This window comes from Homo sapiens, chromosome 4, assembly GCF_000001405.40.
Source record: "Homo sapiens chromosome 4, GRCh38.p14 Primary Assembly".
Lineage (NCBI taxonomy): Eukaryota > Metazoa > Chordata > Mammalia > Primates > Hominidae > Homo > Homo sapiens.
In genome coordinates, this window is record NC_000004.12 from 46305921 (window position 1) to 46329559 (window position 23639).

General features: G+C 33.8%; 1 protein-coding gene across 20 annotated transcripts in view; it reads right to left on the reverse strand.

Annotated features, from left to right (window-relative positions):
- Window positions 1-23639, reverse strand: part of GABRA2 (gamma-aminobutyric acid type A receptor subunit alpha2) — a 146753-nt gene that overhangs the window by 62373 nt on the left and 60741 nt on the right. For all 20 annotated transcript variants that reach the window (NM_001377154.1, NM_001377146.1, NM_001377145.1 and 17 more), the window contains 2 exons: window positions 6576-6796; window positions 4253-4335 (listed from right to left, as the gene is read on the reverse strand). In NM_001377154.1, the coding sequence (NP_001364083.1) occupies window positions 4253-4335; window positions 6576-6796 (304 nt within the window). The remainder of the gene's footprint in view (window positions 1-4252; window positions 4336-6575; window positions 6797-23639) is intronic.

Sequence of the window (23639 nt, forward strand, 5' to 3'; positions counted from 1 at the left end):
ATATTCATTGCAACCACTTTGAAAGGTGAAGAGCAAATTTCTTGTTAGAGTCTGTTAGAATCACTGGGCCCTTAGATGATTATAACATCTCCTTTAGGCCAAAGGTAGCATATGAAGACACTGTGGTAAAATAAGCTGTTTAGCTTATTTATAAATAGCAATCACTCATAAGATAAAAATCAAAATTCAAAATTATATTAATTTTTGGACATAAATGTAGCCTAGTTAAGAGTTAAATGAGTTAGCTATCATAATACAATGCATTTCATTAGAATAAAAAGTAATTATTATAGAACATATAAGATAAATAATAACGCTATACTTGCATCAAGTTGCAAATCCTTTTAAAATCATGCTCGTTTTTAAATGAATCAATGCACACAGATATCACTAGCCTACACATTCATAGCATCCCAGTTAAACTATGGATTGGCAGGAAGAGGAAAAACTGCAACCAGATCAGACATAACTTCCTGACTTATTGGCCAAGGATGCAGAAATTAGCAGAAGTAAGATGACTTCAGAGATGGCATGCAGGCAACATATCTGGTCTTAGCCTTTCTCTGACAGTGGCATTTTCTTACATCTCTATGCCCCACTGGGGAACAGATAACCTCTCCATGCAGGCAGAGTCCCTCCACAGTTGAGTAACAGGTAATTCTTTCTATACTACTGACCTTCTGAAGAACTTCTACGCACTTTTACTCATGAGAATGTTTAGAGATGTCGTTACCCCTAGTTCTTGAGCAAAACTCAGCATCACAGTCACGTTATCAATTAAGGGAGAGAAAGGGCCAGTTGTCTCTGGCAACAGTTCTACCTCCAGCTCTCTAGGACACTGGAAATCTCATTCTCTGCAATCTATAACTTTCCTAGCTTTAATAGCACCATACTGTGGTGACTCTGGTTCTGAAATTGATCTAAAGTCTGTGATCGCAAATCAATTTCCACTCAACCATCAGTAACAATAGAGTAAATGATTATGAGTTTGTGTTTTCTAATGACATACCTGGCATTGTCTAACGGCAATGTTGTCTGGTTTTCTGAATGTTGCTACTAAATGTTAGTATCAGTGAAACACCATTATCACTACATATATAGTCACCTACATTCACAATTAAATTACATTATGTGAAGCAATTTTTGAAATAGGATTCTAAAAATGTATATGTATATTTATATATATGTATATACTTTTAATAGAGAAATGTCCATATGATTTGATATGAATGAATTTTAATTATTCTAAGGTTTAGTTTTCTAATTAAGTAATTTCAATTCATTAACCATTAATGATTGATTACACCGAGAACATTAAACAACAACACTACTAATGTGAATAACTAGGAACTCATTTGTAGATCAAGTAGCTTGTTTTGTTTCCCCCATGAATACATATTCTGGCGCTCTCTTCAATAAAATTTCAAATGGCACAGAATTTAACAAAAAGATACATCAAATGATCTACTTTACGTTGGAAGGGCCTCACAATACTCTGTAGTCGTCAATAAATTATGAAGTTTTTTTTTTTTTTTAGCGGAACGACATCACTTTTGAATTATAATGTTTCTTTTAAACATAAATAAGAAAAAATGAAACCCTATAAAAGAGATGACATTTTTAAGGCACTAATGAGATACTGATAGGCAGTGACTCTGTCTGATTCATGCCTGTACTTCCAGGACCTGCTACAGTGCCTGATACACAGAAGAAAAAGTCTCAATTCACTCTTACTAGATTAATATATTAAGTCATAATATTTGAACTATGTTCTTTACTGCTATGGAAGATGGAAATCTAGAGAAAAGCTCAAGAGTTTATTAAAGAAAGTGACTGATTCTTCACATGTCTTTTGAAAAAGCAGTTACTGCACTTCATTATTTAGATAAGAATATAGTTTTGAGATTTTGTGTCTGGTGAAAATAATGCAGCAGAAATTTATGCAAAGCAGATTAAAGCCTCTCCCGAAGAGGGCGAGTTATATACATTAACACACATATAAGCCGAGAGGTCATAATAATGTTTCTCAATAAAGTATCAAAGGAGAGAAAGTTTTACAAAATTCATTATAAATTCCACTTGTAAATTAAGCTGCCATTAAATAATCTTGTTTGTGTTAATTAACCCATTTTTGAGTCCTATGTTGCATTAAGCAGATGTATACCAACTGATTCTTAATATTTGGTTACCAGGAAAAATACTTCAAAATTATTTTTAGCTGTCAATTTTTAATCTGAAAGACAATTTACAGCTTCTTTTGGATTAATGAATAGAATATCCCTAGACTTTCATTCAGAAATTCTAAAATCAAGTTAAACAACAAGGAAAAATTTAAAGGTATGCGGCAATAGGAATAAAACAAAACAAGACTGAATTTAAAATTGTAAGCACACAGAAAAAAAATGCTTCTTTTGATTGAGGACACTGACGAAGTTCCTGAAATACAATCCTTTTGTGGAGTGGGGGTAGGGAAGAAGAGGGCTTTCAAGTAAGGAAGGAATAAATGAGTAGAAGAAAAAGTCACAGCTGTTTCTGCCAAACTTTGTTATGCCAACATTGTCAGCTATGGCTTGGCTTGTATATTACTCCACACTGGTGTCCATACTTTTAATACTTATGCATCAAGCACCTACTACAGGCAAAGACAATAAAATAACATAAAAATTGTTTATTCAGAGTGTCAGAAAATAAATGTGAAGAAAACAAAATTAGTGCTAATTACTTAAACAAAAAATGCCTAGCAGCAAACTTTATTTGTTGCTCATAGCTCCTTCTGGGTACAGAAAACTATATGCTCAAGCATGCGATATTTCTGCACTCTGTAGATGCAGTATAAGAGATTTTTAAATTTCATTTAAATATTTTCAAGTGTGCTTATTTCATTTTCAGAATCGAGACATCCATCACATCATTTATATTTGATGCCTTAATGACAATACCTTGTCAACTGAAAAAAAAAAAGTCCTTTTTACAACATGATTACATCTTGAATTAATCTTTTCTTTGGTATCAAGGCTTTTCAATTTTTTCTATAATGCCTCTTATGTAATGGAAATAAGTCCTTCTCTGCTGCATCTGCTGTGGTTTTCTCAGCATCGTGTTTACATTGTATAACATGATTGACTATCTTAAATAATGTTGGAAGAAATGCCAATACTGAAGTTATGGTTTCCATGACAATAAAAGAAGCCTTTGTAGTTAAATAAAGAGAAGATTCTCAAAGAAAATTGAGACCTGACACCTTTTGCAAGAACAAACAAGATTGCAGTTCTTGTACCACAAAAGTATGATCATCAAAATAATTAGAGGGTTTTGCATTCATATGAGCCACCATTCTTCCGTTTTCTTTTGCTTGATACAGTTTGTGAGGAGAAGGCATACTATTCAGCAATACATAGTTTTAATCAGATGAGAGTACTGTATTTCTATTCAACAGAGAAGAAAAAGTCAAAAGCTATTCAGAAGGGACAAAGATGAGGGTGCCAAAAAGAGCACAGTCTCTAAAAAGGTCAGGCAATAGGACACCCTCACACAAGAGGGAGGCTGCTCAGCTGTGTTCGTGGATTTATGCTGAACCTACCCAGAATGTCATGTGGGCCTAGGGAGATGATTTGACCTTCCTCCTTTTCAATTATTCTGGAAGAATGAATGCTTCTGCTTGACATACAAGATATAACCCTTCTGACCTAAAGAAGAGCCAACTGCACAGACCCTTTTCTGAAATGTCCTATGTACATAGAAGGTGCCAGAATGTAGCAATGCAGCTACATTATCTCCTTTAATTTAAGAAATAAAAAAGAAATCCTTCCATTAGTTACAGTAGAAGACAATGACACAGACTAAGCTTCTGTGCATGTCATTTGCAACAGGCTGATTGCCACTTTATAGAATCTATCCTTTCCAATTCATTCTTAGTTGATGAAAAAGAAACATTTGAGTTTTTAATATTCTAGCACTTGAAAAAGAAGGTAAATTACAGTCCTAACCTCCAAGGAACTCCTGGTCTAATTTTACACATGTACTAAAACACATAGTAGTAAAAATAAGTCATAATTGTTTAACACCATGATTAAATTATAATAATATTTGAGAGATGTTCCTTAAGGACAATTAGCATGGCTTTTACTTCCAAGTCTTATTGACAATTGTCAATCATCTCATAATTTGAGAAAAAAACTAGACAATTGAGCAGTGCTGCTGACTTTCCCTGATATTATTGACCCAAAACATGTAACTTCATCCCTGTACTTACAGCTGCCAAATTTCAGAGGACATGAATGAGCATCCATTGGGAAATCCTCCAAGTGCATTGGGCATTCAGCTTGAACTGTAAGCCTAAAAGTCAAAATTTCACTATTTGTTTAAGTATATTGGTAAGTCAAGAAAAATCACTCGTCATTACTCTCAACAGACTCGATAGAGGTAGAGCATTAATCACAGCAGTAGGCTCATTCATATTTAAATAATCTTTTGTTCATTCATGTTTAGGTGATCCCTCGGAAGACATTGGCGTATACAAATTCTCAGTATAACTGAAAATAATAATTAAAAATATACTTTAGCCATTTTAGTTTCTTAAGAAGTGAAGAAATTACATATGCATTTTAAATGGCTCCTTTCTCATTAAGCTCACTATTAACACTTGAAATCTTAAGGGCCAAAAAAAATCTCTATCATTAAAAGAATGCTATTGTCTCCATTACCTCATCAACAAACACAGAGCAAAATTGATCAAAGGATTCAATATTAGTTCAGAGGAGCTCCCTTCAACATATGTGAATTGTGAATTGTTACTGTATACTGCATATATATTCACAGCTATACATATAGTGCTAGATATAAATACATATACAGATGTATTTCCTAGAAATAACTTTATCAAGTTTAGATTGTTGGCTAAATTATAAACACAAATTACGAATGTTAAATATATATTTTTCTGTATCTACATGATTACAACAAAGAGTAGTCATAGAAAATTTGATATAATGCAAACTTCCAATTATTCCATTTCATGTAAAGACAAAGTGGATATAGCAGGTACTAAATAAAATTTATAGAGAAATCTGTTATAATGAGCAAAGCAAATGTGACCACAATTTGTTATGGCTTAAATTCTAAGAAAATGTTTAAATAGAACCTTAGACAATATATTCCAAAATTATATATGTCCTGTGCCTGCATTTTATTTAAACCCTAAAGTTTTACTCATTGCCTTAGTTAATAGAAATGATCAATGTACAAAGTCAACAGGGGCATTGCATCTGAATATATTGCAAGATTCAAAGGGAGAGACAGAGGCAGAAAGACTAGCTAGCACTTCCATTTAGGCAATGAACATTTAGTAATGAGTCCTCAAGAAATTTTTTCTTTAAAGATCAGAAATAGCATAGGACTGTATTGTTGTCCCTTCTTAAATAACTTTCATAACCAAAATCTAACACTTATCTTATGAAATGACAATACATCAAATAACTGGAATACGTGTTTCTGTCTATATATAATGCTGATGTCAGATGTCTGTTTTAAATCTTTTATGAAACATTTTAACTTTAGATTCCACATAATCTTACTAGATTTGTTATTTTTTTCTTACATAATACAAGTAACTTATTTTACAAAATTAATTCATGAATATGCTTAAGATGTAATAGGTTTTAGGATCAACAACTATTTATTCTGCAAGAAAATTTTATTACAGTTTAAATCATATAAACAATGCTATAGGATACTTTTTGAGTTACAAAATGGCAATTTCATATGGTTCAATCTAGTACATGTTTATGGTATCCAATATACTTGTAAGCCTTATTAAATGAAGCTTTCTCTCTGAATTTAAATTAAAGTTATTTTTTCTTTGGAGTAACTTCATAGGGAAAATTAAGATATTAAATTAGGCTGAGCGTGGAGGCTCATGCCTGTAATCCCAGCACTTTGGGATGCCGAGGTGGGTGGATCACTTGAGGCCAGGAGTTCGGGGCCAGCCTGGCCAACATGGCGAAACACCGTCTCTACTAAAAATACAAAAACTAGCCTGGCATGGTGGCACGTGCCTGTAGTATCAGCTACTTGGGAGGCTGAGACAGGAGAATCACTACAACCCAGGAAGCGGAGGTTGAAGTGAGTCGAGATTGCACCACTGCACTCCAGCCTGGGTGATAGAGCAAGTCTCCGCCTCAATAAATGAATAAATAAATAAAGTCTTACTTTGAAATAACAAAAATTTTGATGGGATATCTGATAAGATATTAAAATTATATGTTGATACAAGTAAAATTCAAATCATTATTAAAAATGTACTTAATAAAAATGTCGTGAAGAATAATGAAAAACATCAATTCATAATAATAAAAGCAATTCTTAACATTTAAAGAACTAAGATGAGACTCAAACTCAAAAATACTATTTTATATAGTTTTTTAAATCAAAACATTTGCAAAGCATATTATTGGTACTTCAATAATCTGTTAGAAAACACTCAACTTTGTTAATACTTGACAGCTAGATTGGCTGGTTGTTTAATACATGAAAATTTCTCAGTATATAAATACATCACATCAAACCTAAAAACATACCTCATGGTATACAGCAGAGTCCCATCATCCTGAATTCGAAGCAACTTATTTGGCATTGTCATATTATGAGCTACTGATTTTTTCCCATTGTGAAAAAAGGTATCTGGAGTCCAGATTTTGCTAGCCATTAAATTGTTTAGTCGAAGGATATTCATAGGACCTTTAAATTTTAAACGTTCATCTTTCCATTTTTGTCGAAAGAAAACATCAATTGTATATTCCTGAAATAAAAAATAGAATTTTTTTGAAAATAGTAAATGTTGTAGACACAAGACACGGTAAAATTCCAAAATAATATTCTAATTAATTTAAACAGAGAGAGCTATATTGAAAGGAAAACATTTTTAATCAGAAAGATTACTCCTTTGGCTTATCAATACATGTTGCCACATACAATGGGATAAAGTACGTCTGTGTATACTATTAGCTATATATTCTTCTGAAAAGAAGAAGTAAATTCACTTTGGCCTCTTTTAGTTGAACAAGGTCTCAGTCAAACTGCTCCACTACATCCTGTAGTTTAGAGCTGCTTGGAGAGGGGATAAGCTTGAGCAGGGTCTGGTTGAATTATTTTAAGTAGCCTATTTCAAGAAAAAATGAGTAGGCAGCTTTCCCAGTAGCAAATAAATAAATAAATAAATAAATAAATAAATAAATAAATAAAATTTTTAAAAATTAAAAAGAAAAAACATAACAGAAAAAATTAAAAAGAAAAATTAAAAAATTAAAAAGAAAAAAACACAACACTTAAGCACACTTTCAGATCTGTATGAATCATCATCTCCTGTTGCCAAAGAAACTGTAAATTATCATATTTATTTTTTAATCCTAAAAAATGGTGAGAACATGATATTGTTAGCAAGACTGTCTTAGGAGATAATTTCAATAAAGTTTATTTATGACATTAGTTGTAATACAAGCACCTTACAAGTTTTTAGAATACTTAAATTATGACTATCTTGCAGATAAACTCCCTCATGTTAAAATGTACTTTAAAATATTGTTACAGACCCGCTAGTGATCATGTCCTCTATTATTTTTCTCCAAATTTTAACTTACGTGAAACTCTGTTTCTCTCTCTCTCTCTCTCTCTCTTTACCTCTCTCTCTATCTTTACCCTATCATTCTTAAGGTAACGTACACATTTTAAATGAGATATACAATGCACAATTGTGAATACTGTTTACAATCCATTGGATATTAATTTTTTGTCAGTGTATATTTGTATAAACATACTATAAATAATTGAAATGCTCAATTACACACCTGAGATTTGAAATTCAGAAACTGTCCTTTGAGCACAAAACCATAGTCATTACATGTTTGAAAATAAACAATGCAGCGATAGCAATTTTACTAAATTAATGTTTGCAAAAAAGAACAGATAAAAAGGTCATATACTATAAAATAGAAAATCATTTGTACAAATCGGAATCAAATACATGAATCCCAGTGATCCCTCAAAACTTGAAACTGTGATGATACTAACAAGTGAAAATCCTAGGTACTGGCATGTGAGTAGCAAATGAACAGAGGCTCTGGGCTGTTAATCCTTAAGGGAATATTCTATAACCTAGTGAGCGTGGGCTCACTATCATCTAGTTATCTTTTTTAATGCTTAACTCTAAACATTAAATGGAACTCTAAAATTAAAAAAATGATGAACAAAGAGATGAGTCTTTGCACTGCAAGTTTCACGTAAGTATTTCTTTTTTAACTGGGATTCCTCAAATACTAGCCTAATGTGACTGCATATGATTCTTGGTTACTTTTCCAGGCAAAATTAATGAATTTTAACACTTTTTATAAAACTTCAAATTCTATATTTCACTTCTGTAAAATGAGGTTATGTTTTATCTGTTTCAGAAGCTATTGATATGACAGTCATTTTCTGGAGGTCAATCACATAGGAGATACTTAAAATTTACAAACAGGAAGTTGCAAGTGATTTTTTGTACATTTTAATGATGTATTTTACTTATTTATTTTATTTTTTAATAACTTCAACTTTTATTTTAGATATGGGGGCATATGTGCAGGTTTGTTACATGAGCATATTGTGTCATGCTGAAGTTTGGGATACTATCATCCAGAGAGTTAGCATGTTACCCAATAGTTAGTTTTCCAACCCTTGACCTCCTCCCTCCCCGCTCTAGCAATAACCAGTGTCTATCGCTGTCATCTTTATGTCCATGAGTACCCAATGTTTAGCTCCCACTTCTTATAAGTGAGAACATGCATTATTTGATTTTCTGTTACTGCGTTGATTTGCTTAGGATAATGGCTTCCAGCTGCATCCATGTTGCTGCAGAGCGCAAGATTTTGTTCTCTTTTAAGGCTTCCTAACATCCCATAGTGTAGATGAATCGAATTTTCTTTATCCAATCTGTCATTGATGGGCATCTAAATTAATTCCATGTCTTTGCTATCGTGAATAGTGCTGCAATGAACATATGCATGCATGTGTCTTTTTGGTAAAACGATTCATTTTCCTTTGAGATATATAACCAGTAATGCGATTGCTGGGTTGCATGGTAGGTCTGTTTTAAGTTCTTTGAGAAATTTCCAGACTGCTTTCCACAGTGGCTGAACTAACTTACATTCCCAGCAACAGTGTGTAAGTATTCACTTTAGTCTGCATCTGTTTTTTTTTTTTTTCTAACTTTTTAATAATGGCCATTCTGACTGATATAAGATAGTATCTCATTGTGGTTTTGATTTCCATTTCTCTGATGATTGGTGATGTGAAGCATTTTTTCATCTGTTTGTTGGCTGCTTGTATGTCTTCTTTTATGCAGTGTCTGTTCATGTCTTTTGCCCACTTTTTAATGAGGTTGTTTGGTTTTACTTGTTGAATTATGTAAGTTTCCTAAAAATTGTTTCCAGAATTATTATTTATCTTTGAGGGCTCACAGTGTCCTAGGTGTGCCCTGCCAATCTATCTAACATAGTTTGAGTCTTTTTTCTCCCACCCTCACCATGCAAACTCATGTTATGCTCTAGGCAATTGTAACAATCCCCACTCCTTGACATTCCTCAAATAGAGCAAGTTCTCCACCTGCCTCAGTCCCTTGAACACCTGCAAAAAAACATAGCCAGCTCTCTTTGTATTTCTGTAGAGCCCTTCATTCTTTCAAGATCATCTATTGCAATTATACATTTGCTTCTTTGCCTCCCAAATAGCTTATAAATCTTCAAGAAAGGGACCATGTCTTTCATTTGTGTTCTATTTTCTTTTTGTTTTTCGGACATACACAAGAGTATAAAGAATATTACAAACACCTTGTAACCATCACCTAGCAGAAATGTCATCACAAATCTTATTGAAGCCCTTCCTCTTCTGTTTATCCCTTCTCAATCACAGCCCCCTAGTCTCTGAGGAAATAAGTATCTTGAGTTTAGTGTACACCCTTCCCATACATGTACTTTCACATTTAGTACATATATACACACACACACACACACACACATATATATATAGTGTGTCACATTTTAAACATTCATATACACAGTATCATACCTTGTATATTTTTCTGACACTTGCATCTTTTAGCTACTTTGCTGAGGTTTACTCATGGCAATATATCTAGCCCTTTGATTCATTTTTACTGCTTTATAGTATTATATTGGAAGACAAACTTCACAATATCATCATCGTTTTTCCTCATCCTTATTTTTCTTATTTATAATTTGTCACCGTCACAAGCAATATTGCTACAAATATTCTTGTTCAACACTTGTAATACAAAGGTATAAGAAGAGTTACTCTAGAACAGAGGTCAGCAAATTTTTTCCATTAAGTGTTAGTCAATAAACATTTTAGAATTTGTGGGCCATATGGTTAGCATCACAACTATCCAACTCTGCCACTGCAATGTGAAAGCAACCATAGATTGCATAAATGAATGAGCATGGCTATGTTCCAATAAAACTCTGTTTACAAATATAGGCAGCTGACAGCTTCTTTCCCATGGGCTGTAGTATGCTGACACTGCCCTAGACTAAATCTGTAAGTAAGATTACTGGAATTTCGTGTATGTGCATCTTCAAAATAACAAGATATTTTTAAATTGAAATCCTAAGTGGTGTGTAAATTTATATTCTCACTAGAAGTGTATAAATGTTCTTGTTTATGTACAACTTGGTAGAGACAGTATATTTCATTTTAGACATGATTAGTGTGAAATGGGTCATGGTGCAATCACGAGGATTTCTCTGTTAATTAGTAATAAATAATATATGTTCATGTTTATTAAAAATTCTAGTTTTCTCCTCTATAAATTATCTGTTCACTTCATCTACTCAGTTTCCTTTTGGGTTGTCTGTCATTTTCTCACAGACCACTGGGCTCAACTGGCTTTTCTTTCTCTTGACAATGGCAGAAGTACAAAAGAACAAACTCCAATGCACAAGCCCATTTCAAGCTAGTGCTTGTGTAATATGTTTTAACAGCCCATTGGCTAAAGCAATTTACATAGTTAAATTGATGGATACTTGGTGTAGTAGGTAACCCCAACTCTCAGTGAGAGGGCACTACAAAATGAGATGGGAAAATGTGGCTATAGGAAGGGGTAAAGAACTTGAGCCAGTATTTCATCATTGCAACTGAACAGACTAGGCCTCTGTGAGAGAAAAGTAAAAGATGTTAGTGAATGAATAAAGAGTTTGAGGTCATCTGAAATTTCAATGAAAGTCACATGAGTCTAATCTCAGGGAAGCAGGTTGGTTATAACTTAGTAAATGTAACTATTATCAACTGTATTATACCTAAATGAAGGGTGAGCCTTTAAGTGGAAGCAGGGTAATCAGCTTAGGACAGCGGCTTACAAAGTAAAGTGTGTGTATCCATTTGGGTGCAGGAAGAAAATATTAGAATCTCGATTTTTATATATCACTTTAAATATAAAAATAAATGAAGCTTTATAATATGGAACGATATAGACATTATTAAGAGTAAGAATGTAAATAAGTAAATTAAGGTCATGTTTATAAGGCATTCTATGGGAAGAGAAGGCACAACAGCAGGAAATGGGGTAGTGAATGCATTTGTCATCAGTGTACCGTGATTGTGCCTAGTTAGGTGAATTTACAATACTTATTTTTGATTAAACTAGCTCTAATGAAAATAGGCAATTGGATTCAGAAGATTACTGATAAAACACCATGGAAGAAAATAATAATTGTACAAACGAAAGTGGGAAACAAGAAAAAGAAATACCACACTCTGCCTAATATGAGCCCTACATGAGCCAGGTAAAAAAAAATGGTAAACAAATAAACTCTAAAAAAAATTCAAAAAAAAATTTATAATTATCAGTGAGGCTATTTAAAATATGGGTTTATGCCCACTGTTTATAAAAATAAGTTTCATCTTAAACACATGTTGTAATTTAAAATACTGGTCAATGATAGTATCAGATCATTGCAAGTAACAAGTCATTTTAAAAACTAAAAATCTGGAACACAAAGACAAATACCGAAAGTTGATGGGTGGATTTTTAAATATGAACATCATAATTCACTAACCAATAGCCAATGACACATTTCTTAAATTTGAATCTATAATAGTTGTAAAGGCAAGTATTAATGTGATATAAATTTAGAATCTTTTAATTGCTGCAACATAATCTATTTAAGAAAAATATTAAAAAATATTAAAAATAATAAACCATTTAAACATTAATTACTAGAAATATCATAAAAATTTTAAGTGGGAGCAAAAATAAATGTACTTCTTTGATAAATATAATAATTAGTCCTTAAAATAAATATTTATTTTTAAATGTTCACTTTGGTCCATATTTTATATTTTTATATATTAGTGTAAAATATAGGTATAGATATATAGATACATAAACAAATATAGCTGACTAACCAGTTTTTGTATGTTTTGTTTTCTAGACTAAAAAGACAGGGAAAGAAGACATTTCAATAAAATAATATTCTTTGCATAGCCACTAAGTACAAGATTTCCAAATAAATTATTTTCATGTGATTCCCTTAAATGCTTGTAAAATGCACAATCTAAGTATTTGAAAAGGATATTCTTGAAAAGTGCATTTAAAATTAACTTCAGACTTTCATGAATATATACTAACAGAGTTATTACCTGATTTGTGTTTTATAAGAAATTTACCAAAAAAATAAAAAACGGTCTAACTCCTTCATACAAACTTAAAGGCTTAGATCCATCAACTGAGACTCTAAAAGAAATTAATAATAAAAGGATGAATTACACAATGCAGTGGAGAATACACATACAACTAAAGTGCAAATTTAATAAGAAACAAACAAAAAACCGCAAGGATATATCAGCTTGCATGTATCCTATGGCTTATACACAGGAGAAGTGAGACTGACTGTTGGGTTACACTGAAGAGTTGAAAAATCCATACACTCCAAGATTTCAAAAATTCCTTACAGGAAATTTAACCCAATTTCCTCCTTTCACAGATGGGAATATAGATAAATTCAATGAATTTCCTGTTTTCAAGTTTGTTAGTGACAGAACCCAGACAAAGATGCAGTTTCCAGTCAAATGTTTTTGCCACTACTAAAAATCTCCATTTACAGTAAACTCCTTAAGTGTTATATCCATAATTTGTCCTGGAAACAAGGAAATCACTCTCTATAAACTATTGCACAGTTTATCATATAAACTTGATTTTAAGGACACATTAACTTAATGAAGGCATCATATTCTTTACTGCCTGACTACATTAATTATAAATCAGTACTTATAGCCAATTCCTGAAGAATCTTATCCACTCACTAAAACACAACTAAATTGTAGGACTGTTCCTGGAGTGATTTCTCATTTACTTTGATTTTCTACATTTATTTACTTATTACATTATACTCTTGTGGCTAATAAAGGCTAGTCTCCCTTGAGTAAATTCCAATCAGTGTGTTTCTTCTATAATGAAGAACATGTAGTCTATGAAGCAGGTATGCAACAATGTAAAAAATATCACTCTTGGAATACACAAGAATAATGAAGCTCGAATACTTTCAGTTGGTACTCAAACGGGGCTAGATAACAATTTAGCACAGTATTTGCATTGCAAAAATTGCAAAAACAATGAGAATCTTAAGAACAGATCAGCAAAGGGCCAGTAAACCCAATTAGTACAAGCCTTATTATACAAAGAAGTTCACCAAACTACAGTTGCAGAACAACATAGCTACTGCACATTCAAAACATTGTGGAGGTAAGATGTTTGGGCATTCTTTTTGGAACTAGGGGCCAGGCAAATTTCACTAACAAATTAGAAAATGTTACTAAAGATTCATATTTTAACAGAAGATAATTAAAATATATATAATAGAAGTATTCAATATGATTCATAGTTATAGTAGACAGCAATTTACTTTGATATAATATGTGTCATTTAAAATTCATAACATCCTCATTGCATATGCAAAATTATACCAATTTCACAAGTGGAAAATACTTCAAAAGCAATATTTACTTAAAAAAAAGACAGAGAGGCAAGATTTGGTCTCAAATTCTGTGTTTCTAAATACCATGGTCTTTTCATTATACCATACATAAAACAACCCTTGAAGGCAGAATATCAGAATAAAATTTCCTTCTTTCATAGATCAATAAATGGACATTACTCATGGCTTATGAGAAGTTACAGGAAGAACTAAGTTGTAGGGCTGAGACTGGAGTTTTGGAATTTCTGAAAGGGGTATTTTCTTCAAAACCTGATGTTGGAAAAACTGAATAGCCATATGCACTAGAATTAAATTGGACATCTATCTTATCCCATACACAAAAATCAACTCAAGGCAGACTAAAGACCTAAAGGTAAGACCTGAAACTATAAAACTCCTAGAAGAGAAGATAGGCTCTTTGACATTGATCTTGGCAATGAGTGTTTTGAACATCACTCCAAAAGCTCAGGCAACAAATGTAAAAATAAACAAGTCGACATACATCAAACTAGAAAGCTTCTGTACAGCAAAGGAAACAATCAACAAAATATAAAGGTAGCCTTATGGATTGGGAGAAAATACTTGCAGATTATATATTTGATAAGAGATTAATATCCAAAATACATAAGGAATTCACACAACTCAATAGGTAAAGAATCTGAATCGACAGTTCTCCAATAAAAACACAAAATGGTCAATAAGTATATAAAGAGGTGCTCAACATCACTAATCATCAAAGAATTACAAATTAAAATCAATATCACCTCACACCTGTTAGGATGGTTATTATCAAAAAGACAAGAGATAACGAGTGTTGGCCAGGGTGTAGATAAAAGGGAATCCATGTACACTGTTGGTGGGGATGTAAATTGGTGTATCCATTAGGGAAAACAATATTGATATTCCTCAAAATGTTAAAAGCAGAATCTTTCTGTTAGGTATATACCCAAGAGAAATGAAATCATGACCTTTAAAGATATTGGCATTCACATGCTCATTGTAGCATTATTCACAATACCCAATATACAAAAACAATCTAAGTGTCCGTCAATGCATGAATAAATTATTTAAACATAATATATATGTACAATGAAATTCTATTCAGCCTTAGAAAAGGAGATCCCATCATTTGCAACAATATAGATAAACATGGAGGGCATTATACTAAGTAAGATAAGTCAGACGCAGAAGGAAAATACTGCATGATCTCACTTACATGTGGAAAAAAGGAAGAGAGAAAGGTACGTTGGTTGTTTGAATACATAGAATAAAATGTTGGCAGTTACTGCGGTGGGATGTGAAGAGGGAAAAAATGGGGAGGTGTCAATCAAAGGGTATAAAGCTTAGATACATAGGATGAATGTCTACAGATCTAAGGTAAAACATAACGACTATAATTATTGTATACTGGAAATGTAAGTGCTCTTACTGGAAAAAAAGTAAACTATGCAAGATGATGGATATGTTAATTTTACTTGACTGTAGTAGCCACTTACTATTATAAGTGCACTAAAATATAATGTACATCTTAAATGTGCATAATAAAAAATCTTTTCACAATTAAAACTAACTCAAACACAAAATCAAATAATCATAATGATACATATTAAGTAATAAGAAATAGATGTTAAAACACAAGTTCTCAAGTCGGGTAGATCAGGGTACCTGGCTTTGAGCAGGTTGGCTAACCTTTCTTTATATCAGTTGACTTATCTGTAAAATGGTAAGAAAAATAGAAGTTACTTCCTAGGACTCTTGTAAGGATGAAGTGAGATAATATTTGCAAAGTTCTCAGAAAATGGTTGGACACCAAGGAAGATAGTCTGGCATAAATCATCTTCAAAAGATCCTTCTCCCTCTCCCCATACTCAACAAAAGGGTGGCCAGACAAGGTAGAGACAACCAGCAATTAAAGGTCATAAAGTTCCAGAGGCAGAGGCCACACAGGATACCACAAAGAATGCCATTGGAGAATAAGCCACCTGTGTTTTTGGTGACTGCAATAAGGAGGTCACTGAGAAGACATCACAAGTATGCCCCATGGGAGATCCAGTATTCATCCACCAACCATACAAACGGCATATATTGCTAACAGAGAACTACCAATAGAACCAGTTCAGTAAAAATGTATGTTCCCGTTTTACTACTCTCCCTTACCATTGCATCAACTTTGAAAAACACAGAAAAAGAAGAGGAAGAGTAGATCTTGGCCTGTCTCCACAGTATATCCCTTACCTGTGAAAAAGGCATGGAAAAGGACAGAACATCTAGATGGCCTAAGAGACTGATGCTGAAATTAGTCTGGACTGGACTCTTTAAGCTATGGTATGCACTGAAGCATTGCCGTAATGTGAGAAAGGGAGTTTGAAATAATAAAATCTTGCTGATTTCAGTCACCTGAATCTCTAAAGCCCTGGGGGTGAAGTAAAAACACTCTCACAGCCTCCAAGGCCCTGCACGATCTCTTCCTCTCTACTTCTCTAGCCACCCTACAATAATCCCCCACCACATCCACACACCCACGCCCCAACACATGCACCCCTCTATGCTGCCACAATAATGACATAAGTATGTGTCAGGCCTCTGATTTATCATGCTGCATTTTACTATGCAAACTCACTAACCTCTGTTGATCAGTCTTCTCTATCCCCTCCCTATATCTGGACAACTTTTAGTCCACACTGAGAACAAGAATCGTGACCACCTTCTTCAATGCTGTGTCACCGGCATCTAAAAAGCTACTTGGAACATAGGAAATAAACAATACTTTGCCCATGAATAAATGAATAAGGGGAGTCATTGTAAATTTAATGTAGTATGAAGGATACTGAGCCATAATGTTTCTGATGAGACATAAGAAGAAAGGCATCATTAGCAGAGGCAGATGGCAGAAAAGCTCTCAGATGTCTTATGGCAGCAATCTGCAAACAATACCCTAATCCTTAAATTCGCAGGTGTCAAGTGACTTTCATTTGTGTGTTTGCACGCGTGCATCTAGGTAACTATGTTAAACTAATCACCAATATACTTTATAGTTATATAAATAGTTATATTTTATAAAATAGTTATATTTTAACTATAATAGTTATTTTTAAATATTGTTGTCTTTTACAGAATGTATATAGTATAATAATTATATTTTAAAGAAAGTCAACACATACCAAAAAAGGCATGCAATTATAATTTGTCTGGTAACAGAAAGCATCATGTTTTAAAGTATCATTTGGGCATATCGCTATAACTTTTTACGGGGTCACTATGGTCTTCTTAGTCTTTATGGCCTTTATGGTCTGGCTCGGAATACTTTTCTAACCTAATCTCTCCCAAAATTCCTAAGAGCATTCTAGGCTCCAGTTATACTGAACTTTCACATTTTACTAAACTCAACAAGCTCTTCCAATTCGTGCTAAAATACTGTTTTTCCATTGTGTAGCTAGCCAATCCTCATTTGTTCTTCTCAGATATCTTTTTTTTCCCTAAAAACCGTACCAAACTCCGTATCTACCACCCACATCCCCTCTGATACCACATTAATCCATAAATACTTCATTGAAAGCATTATCGTACTGTTTTAAAATGGACTATTTTCCTTAGCTGTCCTCTAATACCCTGTGAGCAATTTGAGGGCTACACTTACTTATTTCAGTTCCTAACAGGGTGAGAAGCACTGAGTGTATACTTAGGAAATCTCGTTGAAATGTACAGACACAAGTTATGCCTTCTAGTAGCTCAGACTGCCATAAAAATAAAAATAAAAAAGTTAGGAAGATTTTCATAAGCCTGTGTACAACATCATTAAAAAAAAAAAGGTATGAACGCCATGTGGTGGAGCACAGGGATAAAGAGGACTGGTGACTTGGAGTAACCTAGAAAGAAATCAGAAAAAAAAAATTAAATTTGAACTTGGCTTTGACTAAATCAAATATCTCCATTTGGCAAAGGAGGAGGTAAGCATAACAAGAACAGGAAAAAACATGTGCAAGGCCAGAGAGTTGTTAAATATAATGACATGTTCAGGGAACAGTGAGAAGTTCAATGCCATCTTTAAAAATAAAAGCCTCACTGATAGTTATAATGCCGTATAGCTGCTGCCCTCTGTCTCGCCTCCTCTCTTCAACCACGCTGCTTAAAAATGTTACCTCCACTCTTTCTCTATTTCCTCACCTCCCACTTGCCTCCACCCACCGCAATCTGGTTGCTTTTACCACAATCAGCAAATACTTCTGTTTTTAATCTAATGACATATTTAAAAACCTTTTCTTGGTTTTACCGTAATAGATGACACAATGTTCCCTCCCTACTTTTGTAATGCTCTCTTGTACTGGTATTCTTAAAGTCACAATTTCCTGGTACTGTGAGAAACCATTGCTAAAATCCTCATCATGGGATCTGAGACTTTTGATGTCTGTCAACTATCTACATGTATTGATATCCCCTAGAAAATATATGGTAGTAGCAACAGTGGATAATATTTATTATTCTTAATCTAGGCATACAAGTTCTTTGTGGCTTTCCCAAAGACAGCCTCAAAACTTGAAACCTAGGAAAAAAACATGCAACCTCTGAAATTTTTATTTTAAAAATCACTACATGTTCAGAAATCACAGTTGTTTATTATTTAGTTTTTTTTTTCTTTTGTCAACATTTATTTTTGGTTCAGAGAGTACCTGTGCAGGTTTGTTACACAACTAGATTGCATGTTGCTGGGGTATGATGTGCAAATTATTTTGTCACCCGGGTAGTGAACACAGTATCCATAGGTAGTTTTTCAACCCTCCCCCTCCCTCTCCATCAAATAAGCTTCAGTGTCTATTGTTCCTATCTTTCTGTCTATGTGTACTTGATGTTTAGCTCCCACTTACAAGTGAAAACATGTCATATTTGGTTTTCTGTTCCTGTATTAATTTGCTTAGGGAAATGGCCTCCAGCTGCATCCATGTTACTGCAAAGGACATAATTTCATTATTTTTTATGGCTGCATAGTTTTCCAAGGTGTACACAGACCGCATTTTCTTTATGCAGTCCACCACCGATGGGCATCTAGGTTGATTCCATGTCTTTTCTATTGTGAATTGTGCTGCAATGAACATACATAGTTCATATGTCTTTTTGGTAGAACAATCTATATTCTACTAAAAAGTAGAATAGTAATAAGTATATAGTATGTAGTAATAAGCTTGCTGGGTCATATAGTAGTTCTGTTTTAAGTTCTTTCTGAAATCTCCAAATTGCTTTCCACAGTGGCTAAACTAATTTACATTCCCACCAGCAGTATGTAAGCACTCCTTTTTCTCTGAAACTTTGCCAACATGTTAATTTTTTACTTTTTATAATTGCCATCTGACTGAGGTGAGATGGTACCTTGTTGTGGTTTTGATTTGCATTTCTCTAATGATTAATGATGTTGAACATTTTTCATATGCTTGTTGCCTCCATGTGTGTCATTTTAAGAAATGTCCTTTCATGTCCTTTTTCCATGTTTTAATGAGATTGTTTGTTTTTCACTTATGAAGTACTTTATAGATTCTGGCTATTAGACCTTTGTTGGATGCATAGTTCAAAAATAATTTCTCCTATTCTGTAGGTTGTCTGTTTGCTCTGTTAATAGTTCCCTTTCCCATGAAGAAGCTTTTTAGTTTAGTTAGGTCCCTGTCGTCTATTTTTGTTTTTGTTATAATTGCTTTCAGGGACTTCAACATGAAATTGTTGTCAAGGCCTAGGTTCAGAATGGCATTTCCTAGGTTTTCTTCTAGGATTCTTATAGGTTGGGGTCTCACATTTAAGTCTTTAATCCATCTTGAGTTGATTTTTGTATATTGTGAAAAGAAGGGTCCAGTTTCAGTCTTCTGCATATGGCTAGCCAGTTATCCTAGCACCATTTATTGAATAAGGAGTCCTTACCCCACTGCTTGTTTTTGTCGACTTTGTCAAAGATTATCTAGCTATAAGTGCGTGGCTTTATTTCTGGGTTCTCTAGCCTGTTCCATTAATCTATATGTTTTTGTACCAGTACCATGTTGTTTTGGTTACTGCAGCCTTGTAGGGTAGTTTGAATCAGGGTAGTGTAATGCCTCCAGCTTTGTTCTTTTGCTTAGATTTGCTTTGGCTATTCAGGCTCTTACTTTGGCTCCCTGTGAATTTTAGGATATTTGAATTTATTTTCCAATTATGTTAAAAGTGATATTGATAGTGTGATAGGAATAAATCTTATTTAGTTTTTACAAAAGAATGGGGAGGGTGGTAGGGAATACTACTTTGTGACCTTAGAAAACCAAGAAAGCTATGACTGCATGTACTAAGTTCCTACAACCCTCCTTCCCCAAGAAAGCTAATGAATGGAGTCAAATTACTTCTACCTGCACCCTTCTGGAACAGTTTCCCCACCCCCAGGTGATGTTTTACTATGCGCAAAACACACGGGTTCATACAGTTACCCAGTTACCAAATAAGCCATCTCACCTTAACTCTACAGAATCCCATTTTGGCAGAGGGCTGTAGCACAGATATCTGATGAAAGCACAGCACTGCATCTGATAAGGAATAAGACAGTGGTCTCTGCCTTTTTTTTTTTTTTTTGGATCAAAGCATAGCCTAGCTCAGAAAATGGAACCACCCTTCATTTTGACAGATACCCACATTTGCTCCTTCTCAGTCTCTTCTTCCATTTTTTTGTCCTCTTCCTGTCCTTTAAATATTGGTGTTCTAGAGTTTCTGTGAAAGTAAGATGGCTACTTTGTTCTAATCTCTTTCCTTGTAAGATTTTATGTATGCCTATGGTTTCAACCACCATTAGATGGCCCCCAAGCCATCTGTACTCCAGGCTTCTCTATTGGGCTCCAGATCTATGCCTGCTACCTAGACATCTCCAATTAAAGTCTCAAACTCAACATGTGCAAAACATAAATGTTCATCCCCGAGCAACAGAACAAAGACAAACAAAACTTTTCCTGCTGTGTTCCATATCCCAGTGAATAGTACCACTTTTCACCCAATTCCCCAAGATGTCATTCTATACTTCTTCTTCCACCCTTATATCCAACAGATCACCAATTCTACCCCACAGAGAACTTTTAAATCTTTTCAGTGCTCTCCATCTTCAGTTCCACTGCCCTGGGCCAATCCACTTTCATCTCTTGCCTGTAGTAAAACAGATTTCTAACTAGTCTTCCTTTTCCCTATCCTTTAATATAAATTATTGGATCATAGAACTCTTACCTTCCTCCGCCTCTTCACCAATCTTATAATATATTTGTGCTTCCCTTAGCATAAAGTCAAATACCTTATCATGTTAAAATACAGACTTTCATGTTCTACAAATAGTAAATATGAGTCCATAGATCATAGGAAGATCCCAGGAAACAACTATTTTAAAAAATAATTCAAATGGTTACAATCTAAGTATCTATAAATCACATTTTGGGGAATATTATTATAAATTCTAGGAGGGTGCTGAAAAATATTTGATGAATGAATGAATGTTCCCAGTGTCTATTTTCTAACTTTCCAAAATGTCAATAACCTTACAGCAACCAGCTTCTACATGCTGGCTTTAAAGGGAGTAAACATCATTAATTTACTTTTGATACAAAGGGTTTGCCATGTTTGTCACAGGTTTTCTTAATGAACTACATTTACAAATGGCAACTTCTGATAAAGGATAACAGATTAAGTTCAGTGTCAATTTTGACCAGATATTAAAACTCACAACTCTCTAAACTTCCTTGATATTAACTACTGAACTAATTAATATCCCAGTAGCTTCTGGAGTTTCTAAGAGATAATGCACTCTGTGTTTTTGCAGAGGAAGAAAAGTATTAACTGGAGAAATCAACATAATCAAGAAACCAAGGTCATACTTACCAGACTGCCTGCTTCTTAGCCTAATGGTAAACTCTGTATCAGATATTTCAAGATTACTTCAAAGTTTTCACTGTCCAAGCTCTAACCCTAACACTTCACAATAGACAACCATTTGGGCTGAGGTTCTCAGTCTAGGTTTAGGTTAAATAATTGGTAGTTATAATACCTATACCTTAATAATATGCACACACAGTGAAAATGTTTACTAATATAAGAAAGACATCCTATATAGAAACCAAGGAAAAAGGGAAAAAAACAGTAGAGCAAGTTAGAAATTGCTAAAATATTCATGCCTACTACAAACTTGGTCAATTGTGAGCTACTAATACATTTCAAAAATTAATTACCTCCTTATGTTGAAATAAAATATTTTTAACTTAATTGCAGAAACTTAAAGTAGAATCTTTAATTATAATTTAGATCTACAACATTTTTGGGACAATTACACTACTTAATGATTCCAAGATAGCAGAGTGTGTGTGTGTGTGTGTGTGTGTGCGCACACGCATGTGTGTGTGTGTTTGCATATTCTTTTGGTTCATAATTCTTTTTGCTATGCTGCTTTTTTTCTCTCAGGCTAATGTCATAACAAATCTACATCACTGACCTGAATAAGAGAAATTAGGAATTTAGCTTTTGCTACTGACCGTGCACACTGATTAGAAATAAAAGTGTATCAGCTAAGCTACTAAAAGTAAAACTAAATTTGTTCTTTATTTTTTTTCTTATTAACAAATTGCTTCTGTAAGGTATTCATTAGATATCTCCACATCCACTTTGACTTGTGGGTAATAATATGGCTATGTTTTCCCTTCCCATCATGATAACATTCTTTTTTTTATATATATACTTTAAGTTTTAGGGTACATGTGCACATTGTGCAGGTTAGTTACGTATGTATACATGTGCCATGCTGGTGCGCTGCACCCACTAACTCGTCATCTAGCATTAGGTATATCATTCTTTTTATTTAGAGTGTCACAGCCACGTCTCATTGCTCAACCTATTGCTCCATCCATACTAAACATAAATTCAAACTTTGCCTCCTTACTTATCTTGATTTCCAGTAAAACTAATATCAACATGGAAATCATTCATTTTGATCATCATGAAGACCATATCCTTTCTCTCCATAAAATGTATATTTTTTTAATTGAGCACTATCTTCCCTAATAGACTTACAATGTGAGTAAATGCATGTGTTTGTATGTGTCTGTGTTACTTGTGTCTATAAGTTATTCAACTTTAATTTTTCCTAGCTGCATCTTTCTTCTCTAGATTTGGACAAATATCAACAGTACCTGTTGAGTGATCAAACTATCTCCTGGTCCTCAGTTTACATCTTCCCTGTATTACACACTATTAGTATTTCAGCTATCTGTGTACTGCCTCTCAACTCCAAATCCACCCTTCTTTCATTTCCTTTGTGATACCTGATGGATCCTATAAATACTGCTCCTCTGCCAGCTAATACAATGTCAGGTTTTGTCAATAGAGGGTGCTGGAGGGACACTCCAATGTAGTCACAAGAGAAGGGAGCTTTTCTTTCTTGGTCTCTCTGGGTCAGCTGCATTGTCATTTTTTGGCACAGCTTCAAACGACTGACATGCTATGAGTTTTCAGCCCATGAAGCATATTTCTGTGGACCAGCTTCAGCATATACCCTCACATGTTTCTTCACCACCAGTAGCTGCACGTTCCTGTAGCAGCAGTATCCCTCCAGTGAGGTCAGAATTCACAGGTCTTAGAGGGAAAGGGTGT